Source organism: Homo sapiens, chromosome 7, assembly GCF_000001405.40.
Source record: "Homo sapiens chromosome 7, GRCh38.p14 Primary Assembly".
NCBI classification, from domain to species: Eukaryota; Metazoa; Chordata; class Mammalia; order Primates; family Hominidae; genus Homo; species Homo sapiens.
This window is the reverse complement of record NC_000007.14, coordinates 8,175,061-8,188,378: the sequence shown is the minus strand read 5'-3', so window position 1 is coordinate 8,188,378 and position 13,318 is coordinate 8,175,061. Positions and strand designations below refer to the sequence as shown.

Sequence of the window (13,318 nt, the reverse complement as noted above, 5' to 3'; positions counted from 1 at the left end):
AGTTAATTTTGGTAGCTCTGTGTAGGATGCTACAAGAATGGAGAGGAGGGAAAAGATGAGAGATTTTCAGCGTAGAAATGATGAAACTTAGAAACCAAATAAGTGTGTCATTATGCAATGTGAACTTATATAACTTTCCTGTACTCTCAAAGTATCTTATTTATTTTGGTTCTATGAAAGCAGTTTGATAATTATAACTGGAAAATCTTTTCTTTTCATATAAATAACAAAACACCCCAAGAAAACATTATCTAAGAGTTTTTCCAATCCCCATTCCATTATGTTCCCTTAGGATGCCTTTAGCGTAAGAAACAGCCTGGTGCCTTGGTGAGGAACTCAGTCTCTGCAGTGAGCATCTCCTGGGTTCAAACTGTGGCTTCCCCACTTCGTAGCAGTATAATCTCAGGCAGGTTTCTTAACTTCTGAATATTTCAGTGTCTTCATCTGAAAAATGGAGACACAGTCAAGTACCATATAATGACATTTTATGATGGTGGTCCCATAAGATAACAATGGGGCTGACAATTCCTATTGCCTAGTGACATCTTGATGATACTAAATCTGTGCAAATCTGGGCTAATGTGTGTCTTAGTTTTTAACAAAGAAGTTTAAAAAGTGAAAAAAGTTAAAGATAGAAAAAAGCTTATAGAATAAGGATATAAAGAAATCTTTTGTACAGTTGTACAATGTGTTTGTGCTTTATGACAAGAATTATTACAGAAGAGTCAAAAAATTTAAAAATGTTTAAAGATGTTTATAAAGTAAAAAAGTTACAGTAAGCTAAGGTTAATTTATTATCAAAGAAAGAAAAACATTTGTTATAAATTTAGTGTAGTCTAAGTGTAGTGCTTATGCAGTCTAAAGTAGTGTACAGTAATGTCCTGGGCCTTCACATTCACTCACCACTCTCACTCACCCAGAACAACTTCCAGGCCTGCAAGCTCCATTTGTGGGAAGTGCCCTACACAGGTTTATCATTTTTATCTTTTATGCCATATTTTTACTGTGCCTTTTCTATGTTTAGATATGTTCAGATACACAAACACTTATCATTGTGTTACAATTGCCTACAGTATTCAGTACAATAACATGTTGTACAGGTTTGCAGCCTAAGAGAAATAGGCCATCTCATGTGTAATATAATGCTTTGTAATATAATATATACTTTGTAAAAAAGTATAGGTGTGTAATAGGTGCTATATCGTCTAGGTTTATTTAAGTACACTGTATGATGTGTGAACAAGGACAAAATCACCTAACAACATGTTTCTGAGAACATGTCCCCATCGTTAAGTGACACATAAGTGTAATCACGTCAAGCTCATAAGATTCTAATGAGGATTAAATCTGTAATATTTGTCAAGTTCTTAGAACTGAGTGTGGTCCATATTAAGCACAACATAAACATTCTTGTTGCCCAATTTTAAGTGTTTGATATATAAAATAAATGCAAAACAAGATAATAGCCTGTGTGCTATACTGAGATATTGAATAGCTTATCTTTTGAGAAATGGAGACAACATTACTGGAATAAGAATACAACTCTAACTAGTTTTCATATTTCCCCTTCTCAGTGGCACGTTGAGGCCCTGTCACTTATATGTAATGGAACCCATCAAATTGAGTACATTATGCATGAAAGTACACTTGTGATATCTTACCCTGATCTGCCCCTTTTCCTGCCCTCCTTGTTTTTGTTGACCTCAGCTTGAAATCTTAACTTTAGATTCAGCTTCACTTTCTTCTTTTCTGACCCATTTATTTGGTTTCAAAATCTCATCATTTCTTCCCTGGAAATCTCTCTGTCATCCATCCCCTGTCTCCATTTGTATAGCAGCCTACACAGAGCTGCCAACCTCATCTTCCTGAAAAACCACTCTACTGTGGCCACTTCCCTGCTCAGGACCTTCAGCAGCTCCCCATTGCTTAACAAGCAAAGCCCTCAGCCTGTCGTTCAGAACCACACAAACCCAGCCCACTCTCCTTCCCTAGGTCCAATACTGTATTCCCAACAGCCTATTCTCCACAGTGACCAGATGATTGCTGTGTCTGGCATGGTCCACATTTATGTTTGTTGTCCAGGCTTCACTATTAATGATGCCCTCTTCACTCAGAGAGCGTCCCTGTTTGGACAATAAATTGTATGGCCACCCTGCTGTTATCCCATTAGCCAAACCATGTATCCCAGGATTCCCTGTCTCCTCCCCCTGTTCCTTTCATCTGAATTGCTGTCGCTTGATCTGTGCCTATCCACAAGCTTCCCCTTTTTCAAAGGCCCATTCAAATGTTACTTCCTCCACTCTTTCAAAACTCTCCCAGGGTTCTTTATACAACCACTCTTTTGCCACCTAACACTTCCTAATGTGTATCATGATTATTTATATGCTGTATAGCTCCTCTTTCAGAATACGACCCTTGAAGAAAGAAACTGTGTCTGATTAACAAAGTGTTTCCTGTAGCATCTAACCCAGGCTCCTACATGCCTGGAAAAATAACAGACATCAGTTCTTGAGTGCTTACTATGCACCAAGCACTGTATGTATAATCAATATACACTTTAGATACCATCTGTATATATTATCTCATTTAATCCTAACAATAGCTTTGAAATACTGTGTCTCTGTTTACTAATTTGGAAATTAAGGCTTGGATCAAATGACCTTGTTCTAGATCACAGAAGCAGTAAGCCTAAATAGAAACATTCGAGCCCAAATTTCTCTGACTTCAAAGAGCATGCTCTTAACCTTTTCACTCCAGGCAGATGGTTCTTAAGATTAAGTATGCAGCAGGGTCTTCTGGAGGGCTTGGTAAAATGTATTGATGTGCCCCATCCCAGTTTCTGATTCCGTAGGCCCAAGTTAGGGCCCAAGAATTACATTTCTATCAAGCTCCCAGGTGATGCTGATGTTGCTGGTCCAGACAGTACACTGAGCGTAAGTAAGCATAATCATTCGTTGATGAATAAATGGATTGGTGGGTGGGTGGATGGATGGATGGATGGATGTGGATGGCCAGATGCATGGATGGGTGAATGGATGGTTGGATGAATATATTTAAATTTATCACTTGGTTTAAAGTTTCATAAGTCTGCTCTAATTTTGTACATTAGGTACATTGATGTGTTCACTTATAATTCTTACAAGGTCAGGATTAAAATTTACTTTTATTTTTCACAGCCATCTTTACTGTTTCATAATATTGTTTAAGTTTGAATTTGAGCTGACTTTTTCAGTTTTTTTAAACCAAAGACAGAATTTTAAAAATTTATCTCTCATTTCCTTTTTTCCTTTTTTTTTTTCTTTTTTGAGACATAGTCTCACTCTGTTGCCCAGGCTGGAGTGCAGTGGCACAATCTCAGGTCACTGCAGCCTCCGCCTCCCAGGTTCAAACAATTCTCCCACCTCAGCCTCCCAAGTAGCTAGGACTATAGGCGCACGCCACCAAGCCTAACTAATTTTTGTATTTTAATAAAGATGGGGTTTCACCATGTTGGCCAGGCTGGTCTCAAACTCCTGACCTCAAGTGATCTGCCCGCCCTGGCCTCCCAAAGTGCTGGTATTACAGGTGCAAGCCACGGCACCCCGCCTTTTCTTTTCTATCTTAAAAATATTTTGTCCAAAATAATGTTAAAGATGGTTTACACATCTCTCCCATCTCCTTCCAATATCTTTTCTATACTCTTGCATGTATATTTAACATACAATAGGCTTTTAATCCACAATAGTTCATTAGGTTTTATTTCAAGTATGAATTATTCTCTCAAACCTAAGTGTATTCTAAAGGGATTATTTTTAAGTGGCCTAGGAAGAGAGAAAGCTATCTTGTGATTTATATATTGTGATATATTCCCTGAGGAGCATGGTTAGAGCAAATTTCCTCCCCTCTCCAACCCCCGCACTGTTTCACCTCTTAACAAAATGACCCATGATATGAATTCAGCTGTTATTTCAAAGTAAAGACAGTAGCCCTTTCACTGTTGAGCACATTGCGTCTTATTGATAAAAGATACAGCTGGAGCAAAAGGCAGTGTGCATGCCCTTCCTGTAATCCTCTTGGAGCATGGAAATGGCACCAGACCATTATGTACATCTATAATGTAAGGCTCCATATTACTCTACAGAGACAAAATGAGAGGGGCATTTTCCATAGGAAATGCAAAGCACTTCAAAATGCACCTGAGCACTTTTCTGTTTGACTAGGCACCACATTTGCCAATTTAGAAGGCACAGTGATTATGACCTTGCTTTTGGAAGTTAAAAGCCCATTGATTTCTGTATGCAGAAGATGCTAGCAAATTAACTAGCTCTTTTTATTTTATCAGTGAGATAAGCATCTTAATAGACTAATAGGTAACTTTCTATGTTAGTGATAATATACCATGCAATGAACAATAAATTTATGTAGTAAATGCTAGTCTATATTTTTTATTCTTGCGGTGTTTTTCAAATACTATGTTTTTTATATATTGTTTGTGCCCAAGTCTCAACTTTCCGACAACTTGAAATTTCCTTAAGAGTAGAGATCATGCCTTATCTGTAGCTTTTGAATGTTTTTATCTCATTTACCCTCTCAACTGCCCTTACAGAGAGGCATAATTGACCTCCATAGTGCTAAACACAGGGCCTTGCATGCAACTCCTAATAATAATAGCATTAAGCATTACAGTTTTAAAGAAAGCTTCTCATATACATTTTCTCTCTTATTTATCTCATGCTTATTTTCCAGATCTAATGGCAGAAATTCAGAAAGGTTAAATAACTTGCTCAGGGTTACAAAGGCAGGAAGCTTCTGATCCAGGCATAGCCCAAGTCTTCTAGCCCCAGATTGGATACCCTTTCTACTCCACCACATTACCAGGGGTTTTAATAATTTTTTGTTGACTGAATGCATATAATTGTCCCCAAAGTATTCCCCTCTGCAAAAACCTTCTATATCTCCCTCTAACATATACACATCAGTATGTGTGTATCTCTTATTGGATTATATTCCAATGTGGCTGCATTGCTCAGGCTTTGCGATAGGACCACATCTGTAGACGGGGGTTAGAATAGCCTTTAACGGGACAAATATCTGGGGAAAAAGTCCTCAGAATGATCTTTAACTGTTAAGATAGAACCTTCACTTTCTTAAGTAAAGACTTTTAGGCATGTAGGTAAGTTTCAGTGTCAGGTAGGTTTAGGTGTCAGATGGTTGCTAAGCTAATCTTCCCCCGCATTCCCATAGGAGACCAAGAGCTGGAAAAGCAAACTAAATCTTGTAAATCGGTCTATTTAGTTGTAACTTTCTTCTCTTATGTTTATTTCTTGTCTGTTATTCTGGAGTCTTTAGGAAAGTTGTGGTTAGAGATTCTAGCCTGATCACCATTGTGTTGTGGAAAACTATGGAAATAGTCATTGCATGTCCCCTGTACATGCTAATGTTTTTACTGGGAAGCTGTGCCCTGCAGACACTAGTGATGGAGGCAGCAACTTCAGGGATATATCATCCAAGGATATAATCTCCCCATGTGGAGATTCTCATTTACACTGCCAACCTTACAGTGACAGTGGGTTTTCTTTAAAAAAGCAAAAACAAATATATTGAACACCAAAGTCAATAGATAGAAAGCTGTAACATACAATACAAAAATAAAGTTTTTAAAAGACAAAATGTTTTTAAAAATAGAATAAATCCTGAGTGTTAGATCTGCTGGTCATTCTGAAAGGATGACCTTCTTTAATAACCCTTTAATTTTTTTATTTTATGTTTTATCAACAATAAAAATTTAGAGGAAATATATCACCCATAAGATAACTACTAGGATCCCAGGGATAATGGGTGTCCCTTTAATTCATTCCACTTTGGAACATCCCAATGGTTGGTTTAATGACTTTAATGACTTCTGTTTCCAGGGAAGAAGAGTCCTGTTCTTCTCCTCTGCCCAACTTTCATAGTCATTCCTTCAAGTATTTATTGAGCAATTAAAATGTGTTAGGCACTATGCAGAGCTCTGAGAATAAAATTGTGAACCAGGCACTCACTGCTTCTGCCTTCCTAGAATTCAAAGTGTAGAAGGAAAGACAGACATTAATCAAGCAATTGAAATGCAGGGAGTCTAGTTCTAGAAAAGAGAACATAAAGGATCTTGTTAGGGAATGTAGCAGGGATGACTAACTTTGTCCAGTGGGTCCAGATAGGCTTCTCAGAGATTCTACGATTTAAGTTGAGCCTGAAGAGTGTATAGTTAGTAGCCAAGTGAAAAAAGGGAAAAAAAAGGGTAAGAGTGTTTCTGGCAGAGTTGTAGGATATGTGAAAGCCCAGAAGTGGGAGAGGGAAGAAATGGCATAGTCAAGGAAATGAAAGGAATTGACTGGAGCATTGAGTTTTTCTTCCATAAGCTTTGCAAGTAACTACCATTAGCTTTAATTAGATCATAAAGGAGCAGGTTCAAAGAACATTGCTCCAGTAATAACGTATGCTCAGATACATTCAGCTCATAGGAAGTAAGAAGACTGGAACACTCAGATAATCTCCTGGATAGTTTTAACTATATTTATGTATTCATTTTGCATTTGGATTATGTTCCTTTGACCTCTTAAGAAAGGTGATGTGAATACTATTCATGCCTCACATTTCTTAATTAAGCACTGGCTTATTTTCTGAGCCACGTTTAAAAACTGAAAATGGCAAATACCTAAAAATACATCTTATCACAGACATGTGAGACTTCTATACTAAAACTGCAAAACATTGCTTAGGAAAATTAAAGCAGGTTTAAGAAAAGAGAGGAATGTACCATATTTATGAATTAGAAGACTTCCTTTTGTTAAGAGGTCAGTACCCTTCAAATTGACCTACAGATTAAATGCAACACCATTCAAAATCCTGCTAGTAAGTAGTAAAGATGACTATAAACTTATATAGAAATACAAAGGGCATAGAATAGCCAGGATAATCTTTAAAAGTAAGAACAAAGATAGAGGACTTACATTTACAGATATTAAGGCTGATTATAAAGCTAAACTAATTAAGGCAGTGTGGCATTGGCTAAAGAATGATCCAGTAGATCGATGGAACAGACTACATAGTTCATAAATAATCCCACACATATAAGGTCACTTGATTTATGTTAACAGCATTACTGTAATTCATTGGAGAAAATAATGGTCTTTTTAGAAAATTACGCTGGATCAGTTGGATATCTATACAGAATACCAGGAACCCGACCCCTATTTCATATCATACACAAAAATTAACTAGGGCTGGATCATAGACTTAAAAGTCCAAAGACAGAACAATAACTCTTTTAAAACAAAACATAGGTAAATATCTCAATGACCTTAGAACAGATAAAGAGTTCTTAACAGGATGCAAACTGCACCACCATAAAAGAAAATAATAAATTATGTTTTATGAAAATTCAATCTTTTCATTAAAAAACACCATTTAGAAAAGATAAGGACAAACTGCAGAGAGGGAGAAGATATTTGTTACATGTGTATCCAACAAGGGACTTGTATCCAGAACATCTAAAGAAGTTCTACAACTCAAAAAAAAAAAAAGAGAGAGAGACTGGCCGCCACCTCGTGAAAAAATGGACAAAGCATTTGAGCAGATACTTGACAAAAGGAAATATCAAAATTGCCAACATGGTTTCATGTACACCTGTAGAGGTACTTACACTATCAATCATCAGGGAAATAGTAAATAAAACCCACCCAATGGCTAAAATTTAAAGGACTGACAGTATCAAAGGAATGAGAATGTGAAGGAACAGGAACTATCATGCACTGATAGTCGGAGTGTAAACTGGTAGAACCACTTTGGGAAACTGACATTGTCTACTAAAACTCGTATACTTTAAGGCATATACTCAAGGAGAATGAATGTTCATGTAAAACATTCACAAGAATGTTCACGGCAGTATTTTCATAATAGCTGCAACGTGAAAGTAAACCAAATGTCCATGAATAGTAGAAAGGATAAATTAATTGTGGTACCATTCATTCAATAGGATACCATACAGTAATGAAAAAGAACGAACTGTTACTATATTGCAGTACTATGGATGACTGTCATGGGTGTGATGTTGAATGAAAGAAACTAGATATCACAATATATATATGACTTCATTTATATAATGTTTAACATTAGACAAAACTAATTCATGGTGATAGAGATCAGAATATTGGTTATCTTTTTGAGGAGGTATTGACTGGGGATAGAATACAAGGGAGTCTTCTGGAGTGCTGAAAATGTTTGGTATGTTTTTCTGGGTGGTGGTTAATGTGGGTATATACATATTTAAAAGTGTATGGAGCAAAAAAAACTGTATATTTTGCACTTCAGTGTAAGCTAGACCTTAACAACAACAACAACAAAATCTAAGCAGCTGATAATAAGGAGTTTGAGAAGAGGAACGGGGGAATAGAGTCGTAGAGCTTACATGAAAAAAAGCATAGAATAAAGTGAGTTTTAGCAACATGGTTACTTAGAAGCCCTTTAGAAAGAAAAGGACCATATAATCAGGAGTATCTCTGTTGTTTACATATCCAACTTTTTAAGTTCTTTACCATTTCATACATATATCTCCCAGCCCTAAATATTCGGAGAACTCTTTCTGTAAAAATGTGGGAAAAAAAAAAGTTCTCCCTTCCTCAGGAAAGTATATTTAGTATTTGGAAACTCGTTTGGGGAACTAGAACAAAAGGCTAAGAGCACCAGAAGTTCACCAGAGAGTCATCTGGGACTTCTTAGTTCTAATAATTATGCTAAAAGAAAACACTGAAGAATTTTCTAGCAGTTTTCAGATTCATCCCACCACATTTAGCAACACCGCAAAACCGTTCGATAGTTGTTATACAACATTTCTTTACAAATGCGTGAAATGGTATGAAAACGAATTTTGAGAATTTCTGAACACTTTAGTAATCATCCGATGCTGTTGATGACATTCTTGTTGATGGTCAAACTAGTAATGGAAATAATAAATCTTTGGATCACTGTCAGTTGTCTATGGGATTGTTAGACTTCAACCCACTTCCAACATTATAGCTAGAATCCTAAGTCATTTAGCCTCTTCTTAAAGCCTTCCCCACACTGGGTAGGATAGGCTAGGCTAGGTTATGGGACAGAGACACCCACAAGTCTATGACTTAAATCAATAGAAGTTTTTCTTTTGTGTTCCCAGCCAGGCGTCCAGGTTGGTGGGGTGGCTGTCCTCTAAGAAGTCATTTAGAGACTCGGGTGACAACAGCTTTGCAGTCCTTAAAACTTGCCTTTCAGTGTTGCCTGGATGTGGACATCTCAGTCATCCCAAAAAGAGAAAGCACATACAGGAGCCTGTATGGAAGAGTTTTATGGACAAGCCTGGAAGTGATGCAGTTTACTTCTGCTCAGATTCCATTGTAGAGAACTTTGTCCATAGCGACAACCATTTTCAGAGGAGTCTGAAAAATATAGAAGGGCAGATGGATTTGGGTGGAAAGCTAGCAGATTCCACCATAAGAGCACCTGGTCATCATGCTAAAACGCTGAAATGCTGTCAGGCCTATGATGACAAAAGGAGCCATCACTGACACCAAGCGTTACTGGATCAGGTGTGTACAAAGAACCCAGGATCCACATTTTCCAGAGCAGAGCAAATTAGAATAAGGTAATTTCCAGCAGGAAGGAGCAAATAAATGGTACAGCAATATATAAAATCTTAACACAGAAAATGTTTTAAAGATTTAGACTAATGGGAAATTGAAGCAGCTGGACAAGCTTCCTTCTTGGCACACAATTACTGCAGCAATGTCTTCTTTTTTAAAAAAAAAAAAAAAAGACCACACCAAGTGACAGAATGTTAGTCATCAGACTATAAAAATAGAAGCTACAGACCCAAAGCACAAGATGATGTATATTTCTGTGCAGCAGGTTAAAAATTATTTGACTAGCATTTTTAGCACCTACTATCAGTACTGGGGCAACAAAATCAAGATATGGTTTCTGCCATACCCTCCCTGAGGAATGTAGAAAACAGTCAATTAAAATACAGTGACCATTCAATGTGATAAGTGTCTTGTGAGGTAATAGAGGTATATAACGAACTGCTTTCAGAGCCTGAAAGTGGAGCATCTAAGATCAGACTTTGGGAATCAAGATATGTGCTTCCTAGAAGGTATGGCACAAGCTGAATTTTGAAGGGCCAGTGAAGGAGAAACAACGTGACACCAATGGGAACAACATGGAAGGGGATGAACACTGGGAACTTACAAAAGGAAGGAACTTACAAAGATGAAACTGCTTGATGAGCTGGAAGATTGTAGATAGTTTAGTTTTGCTAGAGAAAAGAATGTGAAAGAAGCCAAAGATGGAGGTAGAGAAGTGGGCCAGGGCCAGATCATGAAGGTCCTGTGCTCACATTCCAGAGTTTGCATTTACCCTGGATGTCTGGGAACTGCTGAAAGTGCTGTTAATGCATCAGTCTTTTGAGATGCTTCTGAACACCGATATCAACCACACTTTGGTATTCAGTGACAGCATAATGGATCCATAAAGGGAAGGACCTGATCTTTTTCCCCATTCACTCTATTCAGGACCCACTATAGAGTGAATAAATACTATCTCCCTAACAGAATTACTTTCTGCAATTCAGTTCACCTGTTAATTTATTGGTTGATTTGTGGATGTGAGTTGTGTTTACTTACAGTGACTGGCCATCAATAAGCATAATAAAACTATACTGTACTATAAAATACAAGTAGGTTTAGCTTAGGCAGCCAAGAGACAGAAGCAAATTCTTCAGCTTTTCACATAGCACATAGATCAAAAGAAAGATTAATAAAAATAAAAGTAATAAAAAATAAAGGAAATACCAATGGGATAAAAATATTGTAGACCTTTACTGAAGAATTTCTGCTGAAATATGTGCTTCTCAGATTAGAGAGAAATTGATAAAAGGGTGCCCTGGGCTCAGTCTTGTGACCTAATGCTTCCACTAATGACCTGAAAGAGGAAGTGAACCCAGTTAGCTGTTTTCTGATGACAGAATTGCTTCCTTAAGTTAAAAACAGAAAACAGAAAAAAAAAATTCACCAGCTGAGCAAACATTAAGAATGTTGGAACAATGTAAAAACTGACCAAATTAACCTGAAATGTATCTACATATTATAAACTACACGATTGTGAATAATTTTGACTGTATTTGACTTGCCATGGGCTCGAAAATAGAAGACCTTTTTCTCTGTGATCATACATCAACGGATGTAATTACATAGTGGGTAATAGTTTGTATTTTAAAATAAGAAGCCAAAAATCAAATTTTGTATGCATTAGAATATTTTCATGTAATAAATTAACAAAGTGATAAGGAAAGAGAGTAGTAGACGAAGTGCTGACACTCCATTTTGGGTAATATAAAGTTAATCTCGCTGTTCGGAGATTTGGTGTAATTGAGGAGGTAAAGTGGTTTAGTGAAATGAGCAGGGGCTTTCACATCCTGGCTCCACCCCTGCCAGTTGAGTGCTTAATGTTTCCGAAACCTGCTTTCCTTCTTTGTGAAATAGAAATACAGTACCACAATTATGTTGTAGGTACATTGTGAAAGTCAAATGAGAATATGTGCATGTATGTATGACATCTAATCAGTAAGTGGTGGTGGTGGTGGTAAGGACGAGGGATGGTATCTGAGAAAGCCTGAGCAGTAATTCAGCAAACAGAGCATGTTGTGCCCTGTTGAAGAGCAGTACTATGTAGTGGGAAAAGCAAGGCCTGAGGAGTGATTTGTTCACTCATTCTGCTATCGTCTCTTCATTTACTCATTGTTGTGCATGCCTGCTGCCCACGAGGCACAAAGCCTTAGCCTTAGAAAATTGAGTGCTGTGGTTTCCCCCTTCGTGCAGCTTAGAGTCTGGAGGGTAGCTGAGCACACACAGGATCAGGTGGCACTTACCACGGTTTTGTCTCATAAGGGCGTCTGCAAAGTGCACTGACTGCAGAGAGGAGGAAGCTGCTAACTCTGCTGAGGGGCATTACAGGAAAAGGTTCTCAGAGGAGCAAACCCTTAAGCGGAAACTTAAAAGATGAGTGAGAATTAACCATGTGGACCAAAAGGAAGAGGGCTTTCCAGGCAGAGGCAGTACAGAAGCACGTGGATGGGATTGGCCTGCTGTAGCTCAGCATGCATGAAGGATAAGGTGCCTGGAAGGTAACATGGGAAAGGAGACCTCTGGACTAAGGCAGGCAGGCAGGGCCTGGGTGCAAAGTTTGTGTTTCGTACAAGAGGAGACAACATCCAACCCCAGTCCTGGCATTTCTACACACTGGCTGTTTGCTTTTAGGAACGGTACTTTGTACCTAAGCTTTCTCCTCTGTAAAATGAGGGGAGTTGCAGAATGAAACAGTTGTAAAACAGGAGGCCCTCCATAAGTGTTCACTTCCTTTTTCTCCCCTTTGCCGTCCATGGAACCAAAGACTGACGAGGCAGGAGCGGGGGATAAACAAGGGAGAATCACAGCTCTCTTCCTTGGAAACTCCGAAAAGTGGATTATGCTAGGAGTGCCCAATTCTCCTGAATCATCGTTGAGATAATTATTTTGAGATTTTGATCCAGTACAACATTTGATATATTCCTAGAAAATGACCATGAGGCATTGGTGTGCTCTGTTTTTCTAGGTGGCTTTTGAACCCATAATCCCCGTTTGATTTTTGTTTTGTTATCAGAACATGTATAAACCTGAACTTCTGAAGAGCAAGTAGGGAAAAAGTTTGGTGGCTTTTCCACTATTATCTGAAAATGAGTATCTGAATGAAGGTTGCATGCCATGTTTTTATAAATCAGTTGAAATTGTGTCAGCTGCATGTGTGGTTTATTCAGGTGGATATAAAGAAAAAAACCCTTATCTTAAACAGTTTTCATGCATGCGAAGGGAGTATTATCTGGATGATTCAATTTAAACTCCTATAAATTCAGCAGAGATGTAGCTGGAAAACCTAATGTTGTCACTGCTTATTTATTATCACTGAATTGTTGGAGTTTAAAATGAATGTTTAGGAGGAAATGAAGTAAAATGACAACCACATCTTCCTTGTTTTTGGCAAAATACTGATGATTAACCGTCTTAGCCACAGCATTAAACATACAGATTCTTCCCTCTTTTTCCTCTCCTTTTGCTTCTTTATTGACTTCAACTTCCCTGTCCCTGAAATCTCTCTACCCTGCTCCCTCCTTGAGCAAGGTTAAGCATCAGCTTGGCCAGCCCACTCTGTGCCCCTCCCCGCTTTATCCCCCACATTCTTTTCAACCTCTCACTCAGCCCCACCTCGTTTTCCTTACCTCAAGTGCTGAACCTGACAA

The 13,318-nt window shown here is 38.0% G+C and overlaps 1 protein-coding gene across 39 annotated transcripts in view, besides 1 other annotated feature; it reads left to right on the top strand.

The window, feature by feature from the left end:
* Window positions 1–13,318, top strand: part of ICA1 (islet cell autoantigen 1) — a 149,372-nt gene that overhangs the window by 74,177 nt on the left and 61,877 nt on the right. The window contains exon 1 of one of the 39 annotated variants that reach the window (XM_011515356.4): window positions 11,943–12,169. The exons of the other annotated variants lie outside the window; for them this stretch is intronic. The gene's annotated coding sequence lies outside the window, so the exon portion shown is untranslated. Of the gene's footprint in view, window positions 1–11,942; window positions 12,170–13,318 lie in introns of those variants that run through there. 39 annotated transcript variants of the gene reach the window in all.
* Window positions 12,084–12,263: an enhancer, noted in NCBI's record as "active region_25658". NCBI's record gives its function as "activates an Ori minimal core promoter by ATAC-STARR-seq in GM12878 lymphoblastoid cells {active_cell/tissue: GM12878}" and the evidence as "EXISTENCE:reporter gene assay evidence [ECO:0000049][PMID:35858748]".